Raw genomic sequence first — 26,867 nt, 5'->3', positions numbered from 1 at the left:
GCAGCAAACCATCATGGCATGTGTATACCTATGTAACAAACCTGCACGTTCTGCACATGTATTCCAGAACTTAAAGTGTAATAAAAAAATTATAAACCTCATCTCTACTTTTAGTTTGATAAGACTTTATTTTTAAAATATGAAATAAATTTTGTTTTTATCGAATACAAAATTCTACAATTATTCTCTTTTAAACTTAATATAGAACTTATATAAAATTATTTCTAGTGTTAGATTAGTCCTACATCTCTAACGGTGTAGTGCATTACCTTTTCCATACATTTTTATTTGGTTTGTTCACATTTATTCAAATATATTTTGCATTTAAGTTCATGAGTGAGATGGGCCTATTAATTTTTTTCCCTTGTAAAATGAATTGCAGAGTATTTCCACTGTCTTATCATCTGGAATATTTGTCAAATTAGAATTATTTTCCTCTTGAGAGTCAGACCTAACAGAGAAAACCATCTGAGACCATTTCTGAATTGAAAGATTTTTAATTGCTGATATAATTTATGGAATAGTTACAGGATTATTTACACTTTTTGTTCTTTTTGGTGTTGATTCTTGTATTTTTAAGTAATTTGTGGATTTTGCATGTTTTCAAATTATTGATATAAGGTTATTTATCAAATCCCTTAATGTTTTTATTTGTGCAGCATCTGTAGTTACGTACACTTATTACTTCTAATATTGATGACTTCCCTCTCCATTAGTCGTGCAGAGGATCTGTCGGTTTTCATGGAATTGCTCTCTGCTCTGTGTTTCCTTCCTTTCACTCATGCTGTGGCCACTCAAATTGGATTCTTTGCTCATTATATTTCATCCTTGTAGTCCAATCTAAATTATTATGTTATAAATTTTCCTCTGAATACTGCTTTAGCTGTATCCTGCAATTTTGTTACACAGGTTGAGCATTCCTAATCTGAATATCTGAAATCCAAAATGCTCCAATATCTGAAATATTTTGAGCTCTGACATGACGCCATAGGTATGTGTGACACCTTTGCTTCTCATGGTTCAATGTATAGATGTTTTGTTTCTTATACAAAGTTATTAAAAATATTGTATCAAATTACTTCAGGCTATGTGTATAAGGTATAGGTAACACATAAATGACTTTTGTGTTTAGACTTGGGTCCTATCCCCAATACATTTCATTGTGTATATTTAAATACTTCAAAATCTCAAATCCAAAATGCTTTTGGTGCACACATTTCAGATAAATACTCAAACCATACTGTACTTTAATTATTGCTCAACTCAAAATATTTTAACATAGTAATAACTTACTTGATCCACAAATAATTTAAAAACTATATTTAAAAAATGATATTTATCTTTTTGTTATTGCTTTCTAATTTATAAAAATATAAGGCTATATGAGAAATTCTAAGTATTAAAATTTAAAATTTATATTCTTGTTATTGATCTTTAATTTAATTTCATTAATTCTTTATTGTTTGAATTACAGTCCAGTTGGTCAATTTTATAAATGTTAAATATATGCTGAAGAAAAATTTGTATTTTCTACCGGCATGGTTAATGTATTACCTTTGTGTGTTTAAGTTTGTTAGTTGCATTGTTTTAATTTTACATATGCATACTATGTAACTTCCTGATATATTTATTATCTACTATGAAAATTGTACCAAATCTCCTTCTATGATATTGTTTTTGTTGATGATAATGGTTTATCCTTCTAGTTCTTTTAATTTCTGGTTACTATATATTAAACTATGTTGTATATACATGCAACTTTATAATTGTTATATCTTCCTTAATAATAAACCTTTAACTGTTTAATAATGTTTCTATTAAACACTAATAGATTAATAGTGTTAATGCTTTATGCCTTCATCTATTTTTGCCTGCTATTAATAGAGAGCTATATAATTATTTTGGTTAGCACTTCCCTGGTATAATTTTCTTTATTCTTTTAGCCTTATTTTTTCTAATATTTATAATTCAGAAGTGTTTCTTACGAATAGCATAAAGCTAGCTTTTGTTTTTTCACCTAGTGTGACAATCTTTGTCTTAATTCTTGAATGCAGTTCTTTTACATTCAAATTACCATTATAATTACATTTATTCATGTCATTTATTTTGAATTTTTTTTGTGTTATGCATTTCCTGTGCTTTTAACCTTTCCTTTTTCCCTTTTTGATTGTTTCTGTAAGTTTTCTCATTGCACCTTTTTCTCTCTAATATTTTGGAACTGATTAATTCCATCTTCGGTTGTGTTAATGGTCACTTCAGGAAATTTAAGATGCCTGTTATCTTTACACCAGTCCTAAACAATACAAGGACTGATAATAAATTAGCAGCAGTCGTGTGGCCTCCTTATCATATATTATTGCCAACGATAGTTTTTCCCCAACTGTTGATAAACAATATTATTATTGTCTTATATAGCCAGTGTTTGGATAGATTTACCTACATCTTGCCTTTTTAAAAATTTATTCTCACATCTGACATCTTCCATCTGATTGTTTTCATTTTGCCTATAGGATAACTTTACAATATATTTAGTAAAAGCATTTTGTTTAGTTTTTGTTAGGCTGATTTTTTTTCCTTCATCTACTTTTAGAAAGATATTTTCACTGGAGCTATTTCCTCTCAGCACATTTAAGATGTTATTCCAGTATCTTCTGACTTCCATTTTCTATTTGTCATTCTTTTATTGTTTATTTGTCTTTTCTATTTGAAGGTTTTTAAGATTGTCTCTTTTCCGCCTTAGTATTATGCAGCTTCACAGTTACGTTTTTAAGGTGGATTTAATTTTGTTCTTATTCTGGTTGCTTTTGTAATGTAAGTACCAATGTCATTTGTCAGTCTAAAGTTTCTTAGTCATTATTTCTTAAAATACCATCTTTCCCCATCTCACTTCACTCTTTCTGGTCCTTTAATTAGCCAAATATGAGACTTCTTCTTTCTGTCCTCCATGTCTTCTAAATCTCTTTTTTTATTTATTGAATCTTTGTGCTTCTATACTGCATTATAGATAACGTATTTAAATTTAGCTTCCATTTTGTTAAATATCTCTTTAGCCTTGGAAACTTTACAGTTAAAACCATCCATTGGGTTATTTATTTATATTGTTTATTTATTTTATTTAATTTTACTTCACATACATGCATAAAAATTAAATAATAAACATTTACACTTATTTAATTAGCAGGCTAGTTTCTTGTAAATGCACAAAATAATAATCTATGATGTCACATTTTAACTTTTATTTATTTGATTTTATTTTTTAACTTTTATTTTACTTTTGGGGTACCTGTGCAGGTTTGTTATATAGGTAACAGTTAAGGGGGTTTGTTGTACAGATTATTTCATCACCCAGGCACTAAGCCTAGTACACAATGGTTATTTTTTTCTGATCCTTTCCCTTCTCCCACCCTCCACTCTCCACCCCATTGTCTGTTGTTCCCTTCATTGCATCCATTAGTTCTCATCCTTCAGCTCTCACTTATAAGTGAGAATACGTGGTATTTGGTTTTCTGTCCCTGTGTTAGTTTGCTAAAGATAATGGCCTCCAGTTCCATCCATGTTTTCACAAAAGATATAATCTCATTCTTCATAGCTGCATAGTATTCCATGATGTATATGTACCCCATTTTCTCACTCCAATGTCATTGACAGGCATTTAGGTTGATTCCATATCTCTGCTATTGTGAATAGTGCTGCAATGAACATTTGCATGCATATGTCTTAATGGTAGAATAATTTATATTCCTCTGGGTATATACCCAGTAATAAGATTGCTGGATCAAATGGTAGTTCTGGTTTTAGCTCTCTGAGGAATCACCACACTGCTTTGCACAAAGGTTGAACTAATTTACAATCCTACAGACAGTGTACAAGCATTTCTTTTTCTCCACAGCCTTATCAGCATGTTATTTTTTGACTTTTTAATAATGGTGGTTCTGACTGGTGTGAGATGGTATCTCGTTGTGATTTTGATTCATATTTCTCTAATGATCAGTGATACTGAGCTTTTGTTCATATGCTTGTTAACTGCATCTGTGTCTTCTTTAGAAGAGTGTCTGTTAATATCCTTTGCCTGCTTTTTAATGGGGTTGGTTTTTTTTTTTTTTGTAAATTTGTTTAAGTTCCTTATAGATGCTGAATATTAGACTTTTGTCAGATGCGTAGTTTGCAAATATTTTCTCCCATTCTGTAGGTTGTCTGTTTACTCTGTTGATAGTTTCTTTTGTTATGCAGAATCTCTTAAGTTTAATTGGATCTCATTTGTCAACCTTTGCTTTTGTTGCAATTGCTTTTGGCATTTTCGTCATGAAATCTTTGCCCATTTCTATGTCCAGAATGGTATCACCTAGATTGTTTTCCAGGGTTTTTATAGTTTTGGGTTTTTAAATTAAGTCTTTAATCTATTTTGAGTTGATTTTTGTAAATGGTGTAAGGAAGGGGTCCAGTTTCTGTCTTCTGGATATGGCTAGCCAGTTATCCCACCACCATTTATTGAATATGGAGTCTTTTCCCCATTGCCTATTCTTTTTCAGCTTTGTCAAAGAACAGATGGTTGTAGGTGGCCTTATTTCTGGGCTCTCTCTTCTGTTCCATTGGTCAATGTGTCTGTTTTTGTACCAGTACCATACTGTTTTGATTACTGTAGCCATGTAGTATAGTTTGCAGTTGGGTGGCATATTGCCTCCAGCTTTGTTCTTTCTGCTTAGCATTGCCTTAGCTGTTAGAGCTCCTTTTTGGTTCCATATAAATTTCAAAATAGTTTTTTTTTTTTTTAGTTCTGTGAAGAATGTCATTGGTAATTTGATAGGAATAGTATTGAATCTGTAAATTGCTTTTGGCAGTATGGCCATTTTAATGATATTTATTTTTCCTAACCATGAGCATGAAATGTTTTTCCATTTGTTTGTGTCTTCTCTGATTTCTTTGAGCAGTGTTTTGTAATTCTTATTGTAGAAATCTTTCATCTCCTTGGTTAGCTGTATTCCTATGTATTTTATTTTTTTGTGGCTATTGTCAGTGGGATTGCATTCCTGATTTGGCTCTTGGCTTGGCTGTCATTGGTGTATAGGAATGCTAGTGATTTGTGTACATTGATTTAGTATCCTGAAACTTTGCTGAAGTTGTTTATCAGTTGACGGAGCCTTTGGGCTGAGACTATGGGATTTTCTAGATACAAAATCATGTCATCTGAAAACAGAGATAGTTTAACATACTCTCTTTCTATTCAGATGCCCTTTATTTCTTTCCATTGCCTGATTGCTCTGGCTAGGACTTCCAATATTATGTCAAATGGAAGTGGTAAGAGAGGGCATCCTTGTCTTGTGCCAGTTTTCAAGGGAACGCTTAGCATTTCCCCATTCAGTGTGATGTTGGCTGTGGGTTTGTCATAGATAGCTCTAATTATTTTGAGATATGTTCCTTCAATACCTTGTTTATTGAGAGGTTTTTACATGAAGAGATGTTGAATTTTATCAAAAGCCTTTTCTACATATATTGAGGTAAACATGTGGTTTTTGTCTTTAGTTCTGTTTAAGTGATGAGTCACATGTATTGGTTTGTGTATGTCAAACCAACCTTGCATCCTGGGTGTGAAGTTTACTTGATCGTGGTGAATTAGCTTTCTGATGTGCTGTTGGATTCAGTTTGCAAGTATATTGTTGAGGATTTTTGCATCAATGTTCAAAGATATTGGCTTGAAGTTTCTTATTTCATTGCATCTTTGCCAGGTTTTGGAATCAGGAAGATGCTGGCCTCATAGAGCCTCATAGAATGAGTTGGTGAGGAGTCCCTTCTCCTCAATTTTTTGGACTAGTTTCAGTAGGACTGGTACCAGCTCTTCTTTGTACATCTGATAGAATTCAGTTGTGAATCAATCTGGTCCTGGGCTGCTTTTTTTATTGGTAGGCTATTTATTACTGATTCAATTTTGGAGCTTGCTATTGATCTGTTCAGGGAATCAATTTCTTCCTGGTTCAGTGGTGTATCTGTTAAGGAATTTATCCATCTCTTCTAGGTTTTCCAGTTTGTGGTGTATCTGTTAAGCAATTTATCCATCTTTTCTAGGTTTTCTAGTTTGTATGCACAGAGGTGTTCATAGTAGTTTATGATGGTTATTTTCATTTCTGTGGGGTCAGTGGTAATATTTTCTTCATCATTTATAATTGTGTTTATTTGGATCTTCTCTCTTTTCTTATTAATTTAGCTTGTGGCCTATCTGTCTTATTAATTTATTCAAAAAAACCAACTCCTGAAATCATTGATCTTTTGAATTTTTTTGTGTGTCTCAATTTCCCTTAGTTCAGCTCTAATTTGCATTATTTCTTGTCTTCTGCTAGCTTTGGGGTTGGTTTGCTCTTGCTTCTCTAGTTCTTCCAGTGGTGATGTTAAATTGTTAAATTGAGATCTTTCTAACTTTTTGACATGGATATTCAGTGCTATAAATTTCCCTCTTAACACTGCCTTAGCTGTGTCCCAGAGATTCTGGTATGATGTACCTTTGTTCTCATTAGTTTCAAAGAACTTCTCGATGTCTGCTTTAATTTTATTTTTTACCCAAGAGTCATTCAGAAGCATGTTTAATTTCCATGTAATTGCGTAGTTTTGAGCAATTTTTTTTTAGTCTTAACTTCTATTTTTATTGTGCTATTGTCAAAGAGTATGTTTGGTATGATTTCCATTCTTTTGTATTTGCTGAGGATTGTTTTATGTCTGATTGTGTGGTTAACTTTAGAGTATGTGCCATGTGGTGATGAGAAGAATGTATATTCTATTGCTTTTGAGTAAAGAGTTCTGCAGAGGTCTACTAGATCCATTTGGTTCAATGTTGATTTCAGGCCCTTAATATCTTTGTTAATTTTCTGCCTCGATGATCTGTATAATACTGTTAGTGGAGTGAAATCTTCCATTATTATTGTGTGTGAGTCTAAGTCTCTTTGCAGGTTTCTAAAGACTTGCTTTATAAATCTGGGCGCTCCTGTGTTGGGTCCATATATATTTAGGATAGTTAGGTCTACTTGTTGAATTGAATCCTTTACCATATGTAATGCCCTTCTTTGTCTTTTTTGTTTTTTGTTGGTTTAAATTCTGTTTTGTCTGAAATTAAGGTTGCAACCTCTGCTTTTTTCTGTTTCCCATTTGCTTGGTAGATTTTCCCTCATCCTTTTATCTTGAGCCTATGGGTGTCATTGAATGGGGGATGGGTCTCTTGAAGACAGCATACCATTGGGTATTGCTTTTTTATCCAGGTTGCCATTCTGTGTCTTTTAAATGGGGCATGTAGCTCATTTACATTTAAGGTTAGAACTGATATGTGCGGATTTGATCCTGTCATTGTGTTGTTAGCTGGCTACTATGCCAGCTTGTTTGTATTGTTGCTCTATGTTTATTTATTTTAAGAGATGGGGTCTTGTTCTATCACTCAGGCTGGTGTACACTGGCAATTATAGCTCACTCTAGCCTTAAACTCCTGGACTCAAGTGATACTCACATATCAGTCTCCCAAATAGCTGAGATTGTAGACATGAGCCACCACTCTTGGCTCCAGATTCTTCATTTTAATTGTTATACATTAAACATATTTTTGGATTTTTGGAAGCTTTTCTTTTTCTTTTTTTTTTTTTGATCAAATGGTTTTGGTATTTTACTAGTCTTACTTTTTTTTTGCTCATTTTATCAGTATTATATTTATTTCTTTAAACCCATTACATAAAAATATTTTATATTCTTGCCAGTAATTGTTAACACGAACTTTTGAGAATGTGTTACCTCCTGTTATTATTGCTGATTCTCACTCAACCTGCCTACATTCCTTGTGTATTTTTTGACTGTGACATCTGAATCCTTGGAAGTTCATCTGTGGGGATTCTTTAAAGCCTGTGTTGAACATTTACTTTTACTGGTTAGCTGAGATTGACATTTTAAAGTGAGTTTTCACTTTGAGTCTTTTTAGACCTTCTGGGTATTGTGAATTCATGCTGCAATTTGAGTGAGGACAATATTTTTTTTCTAGCAATTCTCAGGATACATTTATTTTCCTCTTCACTCAGTGCCACAATTCTCACAGGTACATTTCATTGTCCACCCCTACTCAGTGGATGTGGATGTGTGTAAGGGGAATAAGTGCAGAATGTAGGTTTATTTCCAGTAACACTTTCTGTTCCGGCTTTAAAGAATTAGGCTTCTCACCTTCAAAGGACCTTAGCTTTGCATCTTGATCCGTGAGTCCTGCAACATCACAAATGGATGCTCAATGTCCCCAAAAAGAAACTTTCCTTCTGTGTTTGGCTTAATGCTCTAGGTTCCAGATTTCACTTGGTTTTGGCATTTGAAATATTCCTACTTTTTTGTCAGATAATCAACATACTAAAAAATAAACTTTCAATATTTTGCTGGGCATTTTTAGTGTTTTTTCCGTCTCATTTGGAGGAGTAGTCAGTGTCTAAAATACAAGTCTTAAAGTAGGTCTTACTTTATTTTCCCAGTACCTATGTGCAAAGTACTGAGAAAATCATAATAAGCAAATCTAAGAAATATCTGATCTTAGAAAGTTTAGTCTAGCTGATAAGCAATAGGAAACACACTGGAAATAGAATGGTAAAAGAGGCTGAAATTAATTTCTGAGATTTGTACAAGTGAAGACCTTGGGAGTTTGCAGAAGAGGCAGGAGTCTTCTCCAGAGACTACCCTGGAGGAAGTGTGAAGCATGGGGAGGATCTGCACAGGCAGAATTGCAAGATGAGAGAGAATATTGCTTGCTTGGGCAATGACAACATGAAAGGCATTCAGAGGGAAAATTGATGACAGCCTGGCTGTAGTAATTCTTATGCAGTAGTAATTGCTGAAGATAGAAGCTGGAGGTCAGACTGAGTAGGAGGCCAGAGTCGGGATGTGAATATAGCAAACCAGACTGAGTCTTGGGTCTGTCTTGCAGCCTGTTGGGTGGAGTTTTGGAGTGGAAAAGCCACGTGAAGGCTGGACAGAGCTGAGAGCACACTCTGGTCAAATCAAGTCAGCAGTTGTCCTGCAGGTTTTGGGCCATAGGCTGCTTAAAACACTGGATTACTTGTACATTTAACAACCAGTGGGTTTCATGTTACAAATCCAGAGGCCATCTTCTCTTAAGTAGCTGTACCCAGGGTTTGCATTTTTGTGGGCAGCACCTGGGTGGAGAGCAACATCTGTCTCTTCGAATGAGTAGAATGCTCCCCCAGCCACCCAAGTCCCAACCTTCCTTATTGTCGGGCGAGTGTTAGTTTCCACACGTTTCCACAGCTCTTTTTCTTACGATAAATTTGGAATGATAAAATATTTCTTACCTGCATGTCTATATTAGAAGTGTGAAGATGAAAAAGAAGACTGAGAGGGCCAAGTGTTTAAAAAAAATGGGAGAGAACATATTATTTTCACACCAAAGTAAAGACTATTGTTGTTCATTTAACACACCAAAAAAAAAATCTAGGTATAAAGATTATATTTTAAAATATAGTTTTAAATAAATCTGCATAACTGGTTTACCTGCACCCCTTTGCTTTGGCCATTTCTGAATCAGAAGGTGAGAAACTGGAAAGAGTGAGACACAAAGGGTAGAGTCCAATCACTCAGGGGTGGCCTGGCAGACCCAGGTAAGAGCTGTGTCTGTCCTTGAAGGTGAGACAGAGGGCAAGTGGTTGGGAAATACAAATGACAATTCCCTAGTGGGTGGGGTACTATAGACTGAATGTTTGCATTGTCCCAAAATTCACATGTTGAATCTGAACCCCCAGTGTGGTGGTATTTGGAGGGGGGCTTGTGGGAGGCTGGAGTCCTCATGAGTGGGATTAGTGCCCTTATAAAAGAGGCCCCAGAGAGCGAACTGCCCACTTCTGCCATGTGAAGACAGAGAGTTCAGGCCTTTCTGGGGCCAGGCCTCCCCACAGGTGACTCCTTCTGCTTCATGTCACTGTATATCTCAGGACTGCTGACTAGAGGATAGGGCTGGAAACCCAGGGGACTTCTGGGAACTGTTGTGCACATGATTCACCTAAAATGTAAAAGAGTATACAATTGCAAGTGACTTGTCTCTAAGAGTTATAACACTAAATATGGAACTCATATTGGGAAAGTGGGGTGGGGTGAAGTTTTTCCTCCACTTTGCAAACCTGTAAGGTCATTTTGAAATTAAACATTCATGGAGAGGCTTCCCTTAGTCCCAATGGGGAATGACAGAAGGGATTGTGTCTGCCACCTACCATGCAGGCCCATCCCCTCTGCAAGATGCAGGAGGGGCTGTTTTTTCTACTGGGAAGAAGAGGGCAAGAGCGTGTGACCTATGGGCACCACATGTTCCATTTAATCTGTGCCACACCCTGCAGGTGCTATGATGCTGTCACCATTGGGTACAGAGGGAGCTGAGAACCAGGCAAGGATAGGCAGCTCTGAGTGCAAGGTGACTCAGATGAGATCTTTCTGGCGCTAAGCCTTTCCCCTCACACTTCGCCACCCTGCCTCCCTCCCAAGGGATCTGCAGACCAAACTTGGCATTGGAAAAATTGTGAGACACTTTGGCTTGCTTGTGAAGAGGCATGACTGAGTCAATTTTTTTTCCAGTGGGTAAAAAGTGTTGAAAACTACTAAAGAATTGGCCTTTTCTCTGTTTTACCTAATGGAGTTTTTCTTGGAGCCATGTGGGCACACATTGAAATATGGATGTTTAGCTTTTAGAACCTTGTCCTTGGAGGAGAGGAGAGAGGGAGAATGAAAGGCATGACTGCAAATAACTATATTATATAGAGAACTAATCACTTTAATTGGCCCTTTTTATTCAGAGGCTGTCCTGATTTATGAATGTGTTTTTCAGGAGCCCAGGAAATGCCTCCTGACTGGGCTCATGCAAGCTTATGGGACGGCTTTCATCAAGAACAAATGTCTTTAATTGCAGTGTGAACGTTAAGGGGTTTGTAATTAGCTGCTTGCAATAGCTATGCACTTTCTCACTATTTGCTGACAGTCTCAGACAATCCCAGAAAGAGAAACTTCCACCTCCATATTTGCTTATTTGTTTATTTTGTGAAATGAGAAGATGAATTCCAAAGGAAAATTTCTTTTTCCAGAGCCTCTGAAGACTAGTGAAACTAAAATATCTCCTGTTTGTTTTTGGTTTCTAATATCCTACTCTTCCTCTATTCCATATTTTCAGATAGAACTGGAAGCCAACAGTACCTGCCTCTGGTCACTAGGAAAAGCTAATGATTTTCACCAGGGCCATAGGGGCCCTCTCAGCCTTAGCTGGTAAAGAACCCAAGGAAGAAGGGAGTTTTCCTTCACTGGACATCTATTGATTACAAATTACTGCACAGAGTTCTGCATGAAGTTGATTTCTTAATTTTTACAGTAGACCTATCAGAGAAATGAGTAAGGGAGCCCAATTGTATCTCTCCTTGTATCACTTCTGGTAACATCCCATCTGCCCAAGCAAGTCACACACTGAACCTAGAGTCAGGGAAGCATGGAGTGGGGCAGAGAATACAGATACAGGAACAGGTAAGGATATGTCTGAATGAAAGTCCTTGGTTTAATATATACATTGCTAATTTGTGAGTTGACAATTTCACTTTTAATGCTGGCTTTTGGCAAACAAGATTTTTTAATTGAATGAAGCTATGTATTAATGTGTTTAGCATTTATAATTTGCCTTTATATTTAGTGCTTTTTTGTTTCTGTTTGAGAAATCTTAGCCTAATCTGGGTTAATAAAATTGTTCTTTTATGTTTTCTTCTAGCAGTGTTATTGCTTTATCTTTCATATGACTTTTATGTTTATGTCTATGTTACATCCTAGATTAATGTTCGTGTATAGTGCAAGGTAGATGTCAATGTTAATTTTTTTTCATTTGGGGGCCCGATTGGTCCAGCACTATTTATTAAGATCATCCTTTCCCTTGCTTAGTTGCAGTGAATTCTTTGTTATGAATAAGGTGACTGTCTCATATATAGGTCTATTTTTGGATATTTTATTTTGTTTCCTAGTTCAGTTTTATACACTTGCACACTGTCTTGAGTGTTGTAGCTTTAGAATAAGTCTTGAAGCCTGATATTATAAATTCTCTAATTTTGTTCTTCTGCGTCAAGATTGACTTAATCCTTCCAGTGAATTTTTGAATTCAGTCATTATGTTTTCCAGCTCCAGAATTTCTGCTTGGTTCCTTTTCATAATTCCTGTCTCTTTGTTGGTATTCTTATTTTGTTCGTATATTGTTTTCCTGATTTTCTTTAGTCCTTGGTTCATTTTTTCCTTTTGCTTTTGAACATACTATGGAAGATATTTTAAAGTCTCTGTCTAGTAATTCCAATTCTTCCTCTTTAAGGATGGTATCTCTGCCAATTAATTGTATTTATTTGAGTGGGTTATGTTTTCCTGTTTCTTCACCTTGTTATTTTTGTTAAAAATTGGACATTTGAGAAAACAGCCACCTCTTCCAGTCTCTGCCAATTGGCTCTGTGCGGCTGCAATCCTCACCCTGAGCCTGGGGATCAGTCCAAGATGAAAACAGTCTTCTCAGGCCCTTTCTGAGCATGCATCTTACCTGGGCCTTCATGTGACTTTCTCAATTCCCATTTATCCATGGCTACTTTTGAATGTATTAATTTCCCAAATGGTCTCACTCCAGCTTCTCCCTAGGGCCTGAAGTGGTCATTTTATGTCTCCACTATAAATCTCTTTTTCCAAGTGTCTTGCCCCAGATTCCCAGGTTGGAGTCTGTGCACTGCTCTCATGAGCTGTTCTTGCTGCTTTTTCCCTGCCTGAGATCTGAGTTAGACAAGGCAGAGAAACATCCGGTAGGTAGTGCCTAGATGGGTTGGAATACTGTCAGTAGGGTCTGCTCTGTTCCCTTCAGTTGAGAGAGAAGGCTGGGAGCTGGGATGCTTCCTCCTATAGACCAAGAATATCTTGTAACTTAGGGAGTAAGGCAAGGGTAAATAGAAACCCCATGACATTTACTACCATTTTGAAAGTGGCTTTTTCTTAACTGGGTGTTCACTTGGTTTCTTTAGACCCTTGATTGTTTTCCAGAGCTCCTATAAAAGTTGTCCAGTTAGTTTCTGGTTGTTTTTAATGTTTCTATGAAGAAACAGGGCTTGGAGCTTCCTAGTACACGCACCATTCTTCTCAGACATCTAAACATTTTTTAAACTGTCACTTTAAAAAGAATCTTTATTAATATTTGAAAAAAAGGCAATTTGCATCAAAAGACAAATCAATAATTTCAACTTTACATTTTTAGGCTATATCATGCTACTAGAAAAACAACATTATTTCTGACTCAAATACAGACTTGAAAAAAATAGTCCTTGGAAAGAAAATAGAACTTGGATGAAGTGAAAAATGTTAGACACAGGCCTCTTAAAGTCAGAAGATCCACCACAAATGGTTCTTTTGCATTTACTCATGATATATTCAATACAGAATTATACAAAGTGGAAAAAGTCCATCCAAAAGGTTACACACTTTATGATTCTATTTATAGTATTTTTCAAATGCTAATAATATTTTTCAAATGACAAACTTTTGAAAATGGAGAACGCATTAGTGGTTGCCAGGAAGGGAGGGAGGAGGGGGGTATAGCTATAAATATGTTGTTGCATGTGTTGATGGTTTGTTTCTCTGCTGATAAAAAGTATTCCATTGTATAAATGCACCTTAAATTGCTTCTTGACAGACATTTCTATTGTTTCTGGTTGAGCGCTATAATAAATAAAATAGCTATCACTATTTTTATATAATAAACTTCTGTTTGCATAAACATATTTTCAATTTGCCTCAATCAAATATCTAGGAATGATAATTGCGTATTAACCTTTCTAAGACACTGCCAAACTGTTTTCAGTGCAATTGTACAATTTAAAAGATCACACCGGAAATATTCAAGCGTATTAGTTTATTCACAGCATCATCAGCATTTGGTGTTGCCAAACTTTAACTTTCCTAGGTTCTTGGTATCTCCTTGTGCTCTAAATCTGCATTTCTTTCATGACAAATGATATGTGCATACTGACTGTTAATATGTCTTATTTTCTGGAGTATCTATTCAAATTTTTTGCTCATTATTATAGGGTTGTTTCTCTTCTTATTATTGAATATTAAGAGTCTTTATATACTATTCTCCATAAAAGCCCTTTGTCAATTATGTGTTTTACAAATACTTTTTCCCAAACTGTGAATTGCCTTTCAGTTTTTTTAACTGTGTCTTTGGGTGCACAAAATTTTTAGTTTTGGTAAATTTCAGTATATAACCATGCACTGCACAGCAATGTTTCAGTCAACGACAGACTGCATGTATGATGGTGGTCCCATAAGATAACCTGAGGCTGCGTGTGGTGGTTCATACCTATAATCTCAGCATTTTGGGAGACTAAGGCAGGAGGATCACTTGAGGCCAGGAGTTCAAGACCAACCTGGGCAACAGAGCAAGACCTCGTCTCTATTTTTTTTAAAAAAGAAACCTGATATATGGCACTTGATATTGGCATTGCATATCAAGGAAGAGAAATCATTGGTATTTACTAATGGTGCTGGAACATTTGGTTTCCCATATGAAAAAGTATATGCAGATAAAAAATGTATATATCATCTAGGTTTATGTGAGTACACTCTATGATGTTCACACAATGACAAAATTGCCTAATGATGCATTTCTCAAAATGTATCCCATCACTAAGCAATGCATAACTGCTCCTTTTATATAGTTTGTGTTTTTGTGTTCTCTCTAAAAAATTCTTGTTTAGTTCAAGGTCATGGAAAACATTCTCCTATTTTTTTCTTTCAGAAGTTTCAGACTTTTTATATTTGCATTTAGGTCTATGATATTTCTTTCTTCTTTTTTTTCTTTTTGAGACAGAGTTTCACTTCCGTTGCCCAGCTGGAGTGCAATGGTGTGATCTCGGCTCACTGCAACCTCTGCCTCCCAGATTTCAGTTATTCTCCTGCCTCAGCCTCCCAAGTAGCTGAGATTATAGGTGCCCACCACGCCCAGCTAATTTTTTGTATTTTTAGTACAGACAGGGTTTCACCGTGTTGGGTGGGCTGGTCTTGAACTCCTGACTTCAGGTGATCTGCCTGCCTCGGCCTCCCAAAGTGCTGGGATTACAGGCATGAGCCACCTTGCCCAGCATATGATATTTCTTATATAAATTTTTGTGTAAAGTGTAAGGTAGGGGTCAGCTTAATATTTTTTTGATGTGGATATATAGTTGTTCCAATACCTTGGCACCTTTGTGAAATATTGGTTAATCATATATATTTTTTTTCCTAAACTCTCCTATTTCATTGATGATATTGATGATCCTTGTATCAATACCATACTGTCATATTGTTGAAACTTTACAGGAAGTTTTAAATTCAGTAAGTGGGAATCGTACAGCCTTGTCTATTTTTTCCAAGATTGTTTTGTTTCTTCTAGGTCTTTTACTTTTCTAAATAAATTTTAGAGTCAGCTGTTAACTTCAATAAAACAACTTATAAAGATTTTGATTGGAATTGCATGAAATCTCTATCAATCTGTGGGGAATTGACATCTTAGCTATATTCAGTCTAGTCTTCTAATCCATGACCTCTCCATTTATCTAGGACTTCTTTAATATCCTTTACCAATGTTGTGTATTTTTTGGTATAGAGTTCTTGTCTTCTTTCATTAAATTTATTTTTAAGTGTTTCGTGGTTTTGATGAAATTATAAATGACGTATTTTTAAATTTCATATTTCATCATGTAACAGCCAGGGTCTAATCAAAGAAGCAGAACTACCATATAGAAAGTAATGTAGAATGAGAGATTAATGATAGTTATTAGGCTCTATGCAATTATGAGAGGTCATTAAGCAGCCTCTGGGATTGTTGCCTCAGTTTCTGGTACAGAGAGCATGTGGTAGTGGTTGGGAAAGGAAGATGGGCACGGAGTGGGAGAAACTAAGAACAAACCAGAACCTGTAATGACACAATAGAACTGTGTCTGTCTCTCATTACTTCTGCTATGAACTGAATTGTGCCTCCCTGAATCCACCAGAAACTGATATGCTGAAGCCCTAACCCCCAATAATTGTATTTAGACATAGGGTTTTTAGGTGATAATTAAGTTTAAATGAGATCATAAGAGAGGGATCCTAGGATTGGTGGTCATTTAATAAGAGGAAGAGTGAGAGTGAGATTTTTCTCCACCATGTGAAGAAACACCAATAAGGCAGCTGTCTGAAGGCTGGGAAGAGAATCCTCACTAGAAACTGACCATGCTGGCACCCTTATCTTGAACTTCTAGCCTACAGAATTGTGAGAAATAAATTTCTATTGTTTAAGCCACCCAGTATGATATTTTGTTATGACAGACTGGGTTGATTAAGATCACCTGCAACCTTTGTGATGCAAGTGACTTGTAGGATAGGCTGACATCCTTCACTATGTAGCTACTCACTGACCTGGCCCGGGATTCACATAAGCTGAATGAAGGCACTGGGCAGAAGCTGGAGGAGCTTTTGGCCCAGCTGCTGCTCTCTCCTATGAGGTAGGCTGGCAGTTCAATAGCAATGTATAATAAGTTACAATAGCTTCAGCTGTTTCTGGGTCTAAAAGTGGTACCCTTTTATTTCCCTCTTTAACATATCATACAAAATTGTTTGGTGTCCATCACTTAATCAGCTTCACTTATTTGACACAGTTCAAAGCCACCACACATTTTTTGCTTATGGCAGGTAGAAATGCGTTTTAGGTTTTCATATTGATATCCTGTGACTTTTCAAAGTAGACTTATTTTAGTTGTTGTTGACTCTGGGATGTTTACATGCACAGCCATCTTGTCTGTTAATAAATAGTTTCACTTCTTTTCAATGGGTATGCCCTTCATTTATTTTTCTGCCATATTGCACAAGGTAGGACTTCTAGTGCAATGTTGAATCTGATGAGAACAGACGTGCTTCTTTGTTCCTGACCTTACAGGGAAATCATCTGGTTTTTCATCATTAAGTTTAATTTTAGCTGTGAGTTTTGTTTAGATGCCCTTTATCAGGTTATAAAAGTCACTTTCCCTCCTACTTTGCTGATAGTTTTAATCATAAAAAAGTATTGAATTTTATCAAATGATTTTTTCCATTTTTAAAAATAATTATATTTTTGCCATTTATTCTGCTATGTAAAAAATAACATTGATTAATTTTAGAATGTTAAACCAACCTGACATTTCTTACATTCCTGAGGTAACTCCAAATGAATCATATTGTGTTATTCTTTTTACATAATGTTGGATTTAATTTGCTATTATTTGTTAAGAACTTTTGCATCTGTGTATATGAATGACATTGGTCATCTTTTTTTGTTGTAGCTGTTAGGGTAATAACTGTGTCAGGTTTTGTAAATTTATGCTGGCTTAAAGGATTTAGGAAGTGTTCTTCCTTTTTTGTTTACTGAAAGTGTGTGTGTAAAATTTCTGTGATTTCCTTCTTAAACATTTGATCTAATTTACCAATGAAATAATATGGGCCTGGAAATTTTTATTATGAATTTAGTTTATCAATAAACGTGTCTATTTATGTCAATGTATATGTCATACATCTGTGTATATGCCATATGTATGCTATATATGTCTATATGTATATGTTATATGCTTTATAAATGCACTTATTTAATTATATTATTTCTTCTTTTGTGAGGCAAGTTGGGTTTTTCAAAAGGTGTCAAATTTTAAAAAATAGAATTGACTTAATATTCCTTTATTTATTTATTCATTTATTTGTTTATTTATTTATTTATTTTAGAGACAGAGTCTCACTCTGTTGCCCAGGCTGGAGTGCAGTGGTGCAATATCGGCTCACCGCAACCTCCACTCCAGGTTCAAGCAATTCTTCTGCCTCAGCCTCTCGAGTAGCTGGAACTACAGGTGCATGCCACCACACCTAGCTAATTTTTTTTTTTTTTTTTAATTTTAGTAGAGACGAGGTTTCCCCATGTTGCTCAGGCTGGTCTCAAACTCCTGAACTCAGGCAATCCGCTCACCTCGGCCTCCCAAAGTGCTAGGATTACAGGCGTGAGCAACCGCGCTGGGCCTATATTCTTAAGGTGTTTAGAATATACAATGACATCTCTTCTTTTATTCCTGAAATTTATAATTTGTGCTTTTTTCTTTTTTTTTTTTATCATTCTTGTAACGGGTTTATCAATTTTGTTAATTGTTTTAAAAAATCTTCTTTTAATTATGTTTCTTATTTCATTGATTTCTGATTTTATTTTCATTATTTCCTTTCTTATATTTAATTTTGGTTTCATTTGCTGTTTTATCACTAGCTTATAATAAGAAAATTTAGGTTACTCACTTTAAATCTTTCTTGTTTATAATGAAATCATTTAAAGATAACTTTTTTTCTATGTACTGCTTAACCTGGAATCCACATGGTTTGATTATGTTGTGTTTTAGCCATCACTTTTGAAATATTTTCTATTTTTTCTTTGACATGTGAATTATTTACAATTTTTATTGCTTATTTTCTAAACAGTGATTTTTGATATAAAGTTTTTTATTATAATAGTTTTTCTTGTTAGAGAAATCTGTTAAGATTTTGATCTTTCGAAATTTACTGGGGCCATTATATATGTCATAATATGGTTTAACTTGGTAAACATTTCATGTACACTTGAAAATATTGTCATTCTGCAGTTGTCAGGTGTAGCATTCTAATGATCAAGTTGGTTGACATGTTGTTTTAATCTTCTGTTCTTTATTGATTTTCTATCTACTTGTTCTGTCATTTTTTGAGAGAGGAGTGCTCAACTCTCCAATTTACAATTGTGGATATTTCTATTTCTCCTTTCATTCTGTCGATTTGAAGACCTGTAATTAGATGTAAGCAGATTAAGTATATTTACGTTTCTTTGTGAATTAACTCTTTTATTATCATAGGTTAGAAAGCTACTCAAGTGCCTTCTCTCACTTCTTTTTTTTAGGAATTCTTTGATTCATGCGTCATTGGAGGAACAAATGTAAACTCTTTGAAGAAGAATCTAAAACACATTTTTTTCTCCAGTAATAATTAGTGTCTTAACATACACATTTTGTGATAATATAGCCAAACAAGCTTTTTAATGTTTATTATTTGCACGAAGACATTTTTTTCCGTTCTTTTACTTTCAGTCCATCTACTTTATATTTAACATTTATTTCTTGTTGATAGTATATAGTTATGTCTTGTTTTTAGAAGTAGGCTGTCAGATTAGTGCATGTATGTTTTATGTAATTATTTAAATTGTTGAGTTTAAGTAAACTGTCTTGCTGTCTCTTTTTATATGTTACATAGGAGTTTTTGTTCCCTGCCTTTGAGTTAATTATATATTTTCTTCAAATATTTTTTAAAAATTTTACATATTTGAAATTTTCAAATACTAATTTTAAATAATGTTTACATTTCACCTTTCATTTATAATGGTGTTTCATCTGTCACTTTTTGTACTATTGTTGAGTGGTTATTCTTGGAGTTATAGTATATATTTGAGTCTTATTATGCTCTTCTTAGATTTAATACTATACATTTTTAAGCCTTAAGACCCTTATAACACTTTCTTTTTAACAAATTATTTTAATTGCCAAATAATATTAGTATATATATTCATGGGGTACTATGTGATGTTTTGATTTATTTATACATTGTGGAAGGAGTACATCAAGTTAATGAACATATCCAACCCCTCACATACCAGTGTTTATGTAGTGGGAACATTTAAAATCTACTCTTTCAGCAATTTTGAAATATAGAATACATTATTATTAACTATGGCCACCAAGCTGGATGATAGATCTTGGAAACTGATTCCTCCTGTCTAAAACTTCAAGCCCTTTGATCAACATCTTCCCATCCACCTCCATAACATAACACTTTTTAATTCCATTTACATTCCTATACCTTGCATTTTATTATGTATACTTTCAACTCAGCAATAGACTATTTTTTCTTTAAACTGACAGTCTTCTTTTTAAGAATTAATTATTAGAGGCCAGGCACGGTGGCTCACGCCTGTAATCCCAGCACTTTGGGAGGCCGGGGTGGGCGGATCACGAGGTCAGGAGATCGAGACCATCCTGGCTAACACGGTGAAACCCCGTCTCTACTAAAAATACAACAAATTAGCCGGGCGTGGTCGTGGGCGCCTGTAGTCCCAGCTACTCGGGAGGCTGAGGCAGGAGAATGGCGAGAACCCGGGAGGCAGAGCTTGCAGTGAGCAGAGATCGCGCCACTGCACTCCAGTCTGGGCGACAAAGTGAGACTCCGTCTCAAAAAAAAAAAAAAAAAAAAAGAATTAATTATTAGAACACAAATTCTATCAGCTGTTATTTGAGGATATCTCTTTTTGCTAGATATAGAATTAAAGAATATTTTGGCTAGACATGGAATTCTGGGTTAATAGTTTTCTTTCAGCTCTTGAAGTTGCCATTCCATTTTATTGTGGTCTCCATTTTTCTCTGAGAAGCAGTGAGTCATAATTTCTTTTGTTGTTCTCTTGTGTATAATATTACCTTTTTTTCTTTGACTGTTTTTAAGATTTTCTGCTTATCTTTATTTTATTTTTATTATTTTTTGTTTTGAGACAGTCTTGCTCTGTCGCCCAGGCTGGAGTGCAGTGGCATAATCTCGTCTCACTGCAACCTCCACCTCCCAGGTTCAAGCCATTCTCCTGCTTCAGCCTCCGGAGTAGCTGGAATTACAGGTGCCCGCCACCATGCCCGGCTAATTTTTGTATTTTTTAGTAGAGACAGAGTTTCACCATGTTGGCCAGGCTGGTCTCGAACTCCTGACCTCAAATGATTTGCCCTTCTTGGCCTCCTGAAGTGCTGGGATTACAGGCGTGAGCAACTGCGCCCAGCCTGTTTATCTCTAATTTTCAGTATTTTGACTCTGTTCTGCCTACATATAGAGTTATTTGCAGTCATTATGCTGGTTATTTTCCTGCATTTATTAGATCTATAAGTTGATAGATTTCACCAAATTTGGGACTTTAAAGATCTTTTCATCATTTAATTTTCTTTTCTCTCTTTTTAGAATTCCAATGATCTGTGTTGTCCCACAGTCCCTGAGGCTTTGTTTATTTTTGTTCAATCTTCTCTTTTTAAAATGGTAATTTCCCTCAAATCATCAGCAAATTTGTATTTTCTTTCTTTTTTTTTAAATTTTTTGCTTCCAGTGTATTGTTGAGCCCAACCAATCATTTTTCACTTTAGATAGTGCTCATTTTAGTTCTAAAATTTTCATTCGGTTTTGTTTCGTAGCTTCCATGTCTCCAGTGATATTCCATGTCCATTTGATTGCTGTGTAGTATTTCATTATATGGACATATCACACTGTATTTATTAGTTTCTTAGAGAAAAATTGGAGTTTACTAGTTTGAGGGATTACAAAATGAAGCCACTGTAAACACGAATGCATAGGTTTTTGTACAAATATAAGTTTCCATTTCACTAAGGTAAATACCAAGGAGAATTTCTGAGCCACATGGTAAATCTATGTTTTACTTTATACGACACTGGCACTTTGTTTTACAAATATCTACCATTTTGCATTCCCACCAACAAAGTGTTATGTATTATAGCTATTCTACACCATTAGCAGAACGTGGCATTTTCAGTTAAAAAAAAAAAAAAAAACATTCCTCCTAGGAGGTGTATAGTGATACTCATTGTGATTTTAATTTGCTTTTCCCTGATAACTAATAATAATGATCATCTTTTCTATGATTATTTTGTCATTCTCATATTTTCTTTGGTGAAGTGTCTATTAATGTCTTTTCTCATTTAAAAAATTGGGCTATTAGTTTTCATATTTTTGAGTTTTGAAAGTCTTTTTGTGTAATTTGTATGCAAGTTTTTTATTAGATATGGGATTCGTAATTATTTTCTCCCAATCTGCAAATTGTCTTTTTAACTTTTAAAGTCAGATAAAGTCCAATTGATCAATTTATATGTGCTTTGGGGAAAGGATTGATATTTTTTATTGCATGTAAATAACTGATTGTTCTAGAACCACTTATGAAAAAGACTATGTTTTTTCCAAGGAAGTACTTTTGCACCTTTGTAAAAACAATCACGTATATGTCGGTTTAACTCTAGCCTCTTTATTCTGTTCAATTGACATTTGTGTCTGTCCTTTTGATAGTATTCCATGTCTTCATTAATGTAGTTTTATAACTGAGTATTGAATCAGTTATTAAAATTCCTCAAAGTTGGTTCTATTTTGTAAAATCTGTTTTGGCTATTCTAGTTCCTTTGCCTTTCCACACAAATCTTAGAATCACTTTTCCTATTTCTAAAAATTCTGCCAGAATTTTCGTTGAAATTGGGTTGTATATATGTTTTAATTTAGACAGAAATGAATTCTTAACAATATTAAGTCTTCTAATCCATGAACAAGGCATATCTTAACATTTAATTAGGATATCTTTCATTTCTCTTACCAGTATCCTATAATTTTTACCATAAAGGTCTTTCACATTTTTGCTATAGTTATACCTAAGTATCATATTTTTTGGCATTATTATACATTTATAAATTATATTAACATTTTCTATTTCCAATTTTTTCATTGCTATTGCATAGAAATGCAATTGATTTTTATATATTGACCTTGTGTCGAGCAACATAGCTAAATTCACTTATTACTTCTAGTGGTTGTTTTGGTTAATTCTTTATCGTTTTCTATGCAATCAACAATTGCAAATAGAGGGAGCTTTTTTTCCTCCTTACAACCTTATGCCATCTATTTTTCTTGCTGTATTGTATTGGGTAAAGCATTAATTATAATGTTGAATAGGAGTTATAACAGTAGATATTGTTTATTTATGATATAGTGGGAAAACATTCACTCCATTATTTTATTCCAAATTATAGACAGACTTTAGCGAGATGAATGTTGCAATATTGTATAACATAATCACATACATTCTATCATTTTTCTCATATTCTATTGAATGGAAAGAAGTTACAGGTCCAACCCACACTCAAGAGGAAGGGATCCCGCAAAAGCATGAACACTCAGAGGAGTGGATTGAGGGGCCACCTGAAGAATCTGTGTATCATAGCAATGTTTGCTTTGGGATTTATAGTTAGCATCTTGTACCTATCACTGTTTACCCATAAGTAATATCACACCCTTTCCCACATGATATAAGAAATTTGTAATGTTATACTTCTGTGTTTCCCTCCTGGCTGTTGTGCTGTTGTTGCCATACATTTTACTTCTATGTATTTTATACATTTCACAATACATTGCTATTATTTTTATTTTAAGCAATCAATTATGTTCTAAAGATATTTTTAAAATGAGAAGAATATATATATATATATATTTAACTGACATATTTATTATTTCTGGAGTTCTTTGTTCTTTTACATAGAGTTTTTCATCTGATGTCATTTTCTTTCTAACAGACTTTCCATAATATTTTTTGTAGTGCAGGGTAGCTAATGATAAATCCTTTCAGCTTTTGTTTGCCTATGAAAATCTTTGTTTTCTTTTTTTTCTTGAGACAGGGTCTTGCTCTGTCTCTGAGGCTGGAGTGCAGTGGTGCAATCATAGCTCACTGCAGCCTCGACCTCTTTGGGCTCAAATGATCCTCCTGCCTCAGCTTCCCCAGCAGCTGGGACTACAGGAACGCATCACCACACCCGGCTAATTTTATTTTATTTTTTTTGTAGAGATGGGGTTTCACAATGTTGCCCACACTAATCTTGAACTCCTGGCCTCAAGCAATCCTCCCACCTTGGCCTCCCAAAGTGTGGGGATTATAGGCATGAGCCACTGCACCCAGGCAGTTTTGTTTTCGAAAGATATTTTTGCCGAGTTTTTTTTTTTTAATAGTAAGTTGACTTCTTTTCTTTCAGTACCTTAAAGATGTCCCACTATTATTAACTTGTGTTCATTTTTACCAATGGGAAGACTTCTGTCATTCTTACCATTTTGTATGTAATGAGACTTTTTTTACTGGCTGGTTTTAAGATTTCTCTCTATCACTGGTTTTAATATTTTCAACTATGATGCATTATGGTGTGGTTTTCTTCATATTTCTTGTATTTGTAGTTCCTTGAGTTTTAGGATCTGTGGGTTTCTAGTTTTTATCAACTTTGAATATTTTTGGCAATGATTTCATCAAGTATGTGTTTTTCTATTTCTACTCTCTTTTTATCTTCTTCACATATTCTAGTTATACATAGATTAGGTTTCTTGAAGTTTTTCCATAACTCACTGATTCGCTTTTCATTTTTTATCCCTTTTTTCTCTCTGTTTTTCATCTTGTCGTTTCTATTTTTATATTTTCAAGTTTACCCCTTTTTCATCTGTAATGTATAATGTACTTTTAATCCCATTCATTATATTTTAAATCTCCAACATTATGTTTTTTTGCACCTAGGAATGTTATTGGAGTCCTTTACTTATGCTCCATATCTCTGCTTACCATGCTCACGCGTCCCTTTTTTTCTTATGCATGTGGAATGTAGTTATAAGAACTGATTTAACATCTTTGTCTACTAATTATATTGTCTATGTCACTTCTGGGTCTATTTTTATGGACGGAATTTTCTCCTCTCATTAAAATGTGAACACAATATGGCTTTATTTCTTTCTAATAGGTGTTCCCCCTTGCATTGTTATGGGATGATTAGATTGCAGTGTTATCAATGCTCTCATAAAGCAGCGGGAGCACCAGGAAAGCAAAGCTGATCCATCCTGAGGATCGAAGAAGATTTCCCAGAGGAGCACGGCATGTGAGCTGAGTGACCCAGAGTAAGCGTAGACAAAGGGGAAAAAACAAGCAAAGGAAATTCCCAGTGGACAGAAGCACATACACAAAGCACGGAAATGAGAGAAGGGTACACTCCAGGGACACCAGGGAACTCACTGTAGCTGAACTGTGGGTAGGAAATGGAAAGTGACCACGCCAGACTAGCACATGTGCCCAGCCCATGAGAACAGTTGCGCATTTGGCCGGAGAGATTGAGCTTTGCTTTATTGGCCATGGGAAGACTTTAGAAGGTGTTTTTAATTGTGGTAAACATACTTAACAGAAAATTTACCATTTTAACCATTTTAAATGTACAATTTAGTGAAATTAAGTATAATTACATTCTTTTGAAACTATCATCACCATTCATCTCCAGAGTTTTTTCACCTACCCAAATTGAAATTCTACATCCTCACTGTCTTAGTCTATTTCATGCTGCTGTAACAGAATACCTGAGACTGGGTAATTTATAAAGAAAAGAAATTTATTTCTTACAGTTCTGGAGGCTGGAAAGTCCACAATCAAGGCATCGGCAGGTTTGGTGTCTGGTGAGGGCTGCTCTCTGCTTCCAGGTTGGCTCCATGAATGCTGGGTCTCACATGCTAAAAAATAGGAAGGCAAACTAGTTGAACACTGTGTGAAGCCTCTTTTATAAAGGTCTTAATCCCATTAACCAGGGAGAAGCCCTTATGGCCTAATCACCTCTAAAAAGCCCCGCTTCTTAATCTGACTACATTGGCAACATCTGCATTTTGGAGGGGACACATTCAAACCAAAGCCTTCCAATCCTGGCCCCGAAATACCTGCCAAAATTCATGACATGCATAATACATTTGTTTTATCCCATCACCCCCCAAAGTCTTCACGCATTTCAGCATGAACTCAAAAGTTCAAAGTCCAGAGTCTCATCTAAATTGGATATGGGTTAGGCTCAAGGCACGGTTCATCCTGAGGCAAATTTCCCTTTAGCTGTGAGTCTGAAATCAAGCAAGTTATGGGATTCCAAAATACAATCATGGGACAGGCACAGGACAGACATAGGAGAATAGGCAAGAAGAAAGGAGTAACAGGTACCAAGTTAGTCTAAACCCAACAAAGAGAACACTAAATCTCAAGACTTGAGAATTATCTTCTTTGACTCCATGTCCTGCCTTCAGGACACAATGGGGTAAGGGCTGGGTCTCCAAGGCTTCTGGGGACCCTCTCTCTATTCATGCTGTAGCAGATCTCACAGGCTGGAGTTAAGTGCCTGCTTCTCTCCCAGGCTGCCATTGCACATTGGGGCCCCTATACCTCTGAAGTCTTGGGAGCATGCATGGAACCCTGTGCTGCCAAATACTGAAACCCACACTTTCCTTCACATTCTGCCATCAGTAACTGGGAGTCTCATTCCTGTTTATGAAGGAAACATTATCTCCCATGAATGTCGTGTTTACTGGAAGGAGTAACTTATTAACAATAGCTAACATGCAATGAGTGTCTTCTGGGAATGAGTGTCTTACAGGAGTGAACTGACTTGGTCCTTATAAAGAGCACTATCAAATAGATGCTATTATTCCAATATTAGAGTGAGGAAATAAGAGCTAGGGAAGCAAGGGCTTGCCTAAGGTCTCACAACAAGTGGAGGTGGAGCTGGGATTTGTCCAGGCAGATGACCCCTGACTTCACCACACAGATTTATGGAATTTGGCCATATGGTATCCATTAGCTGTTGAGACTCATCTCCTATCTCGACACTAGAGTGTACCTTAGGATTGGAGCACAAGGTGGGCCAGTCTTATAGGTTTGGCAAGTGTAGACATAGACACACTGTTCTGTGAGGAAGGCCTGGGCTGAAATTCCTCAATAATAATCTTTGACAGCCAGAGGACCCACCCCTGGACAGCATGTGCACTGCAGGTACAAGGTAGGGGAATTATGTTATGGGAGCAGTTGGCTGATGTGACACACACTTCTGCCTCATGAGTAGAGGGCTGCTTGGCCCTGCAGTTGTCACAAGAGGCAAGAAACTTCTGTTACTTGGAGAAACAGGGCCCTTTGGCAGTCTATTGCCTCCATTCTCCACCTGCCACCAAGCAGGTCTGCAGGATCCGGC

The 26,867-nt window shown here is 35.5% G+C and overlaps 1 long non-coding RNA gene across 2 annotated transcripts in view; it reads left to right on the top strand.

The window, feature by feature from the left end:
* LOC105373602 (uncharacterized) overlaps positions 1-26,867 on the top strand; it is a 98,601-nt gene that overhangs the window by 22,986 nt on the left and 48,748 nt on the right. Inside the window, exon 3 of one of the 2 annotated variants that reach the window (XR_001739694.1) lies at positions 11,171-11,509. The exons of the other annotated variant lie outside the window; for it this stretch is intronic. This is a non-coding gene — a long non-coding RNA (uncharacterized LOC105373602). Of the gene's footprint in view, positions 1-11,170; positions 11,510-26,867 lie in introns of those variants that run through there. 2 annotated transcript variants of the gene reach the window in all.

This window comes from Homo sapiens, chromosome 2, assembly GCF_000001405.40.
Source record: "Homo sapiens chromosome 2, GRCh38.p14 Primary Assembly".
NCBI classification, from domain to species: domain Eukaryota; kingdom Metazoa; phylum Chordata; class Mammalia; order Primates; family Hominidae; genus Homo; species Homo sapiens.
This window is presented reverse-complemented; position numbering and strand designations above follow the sequence as displayed.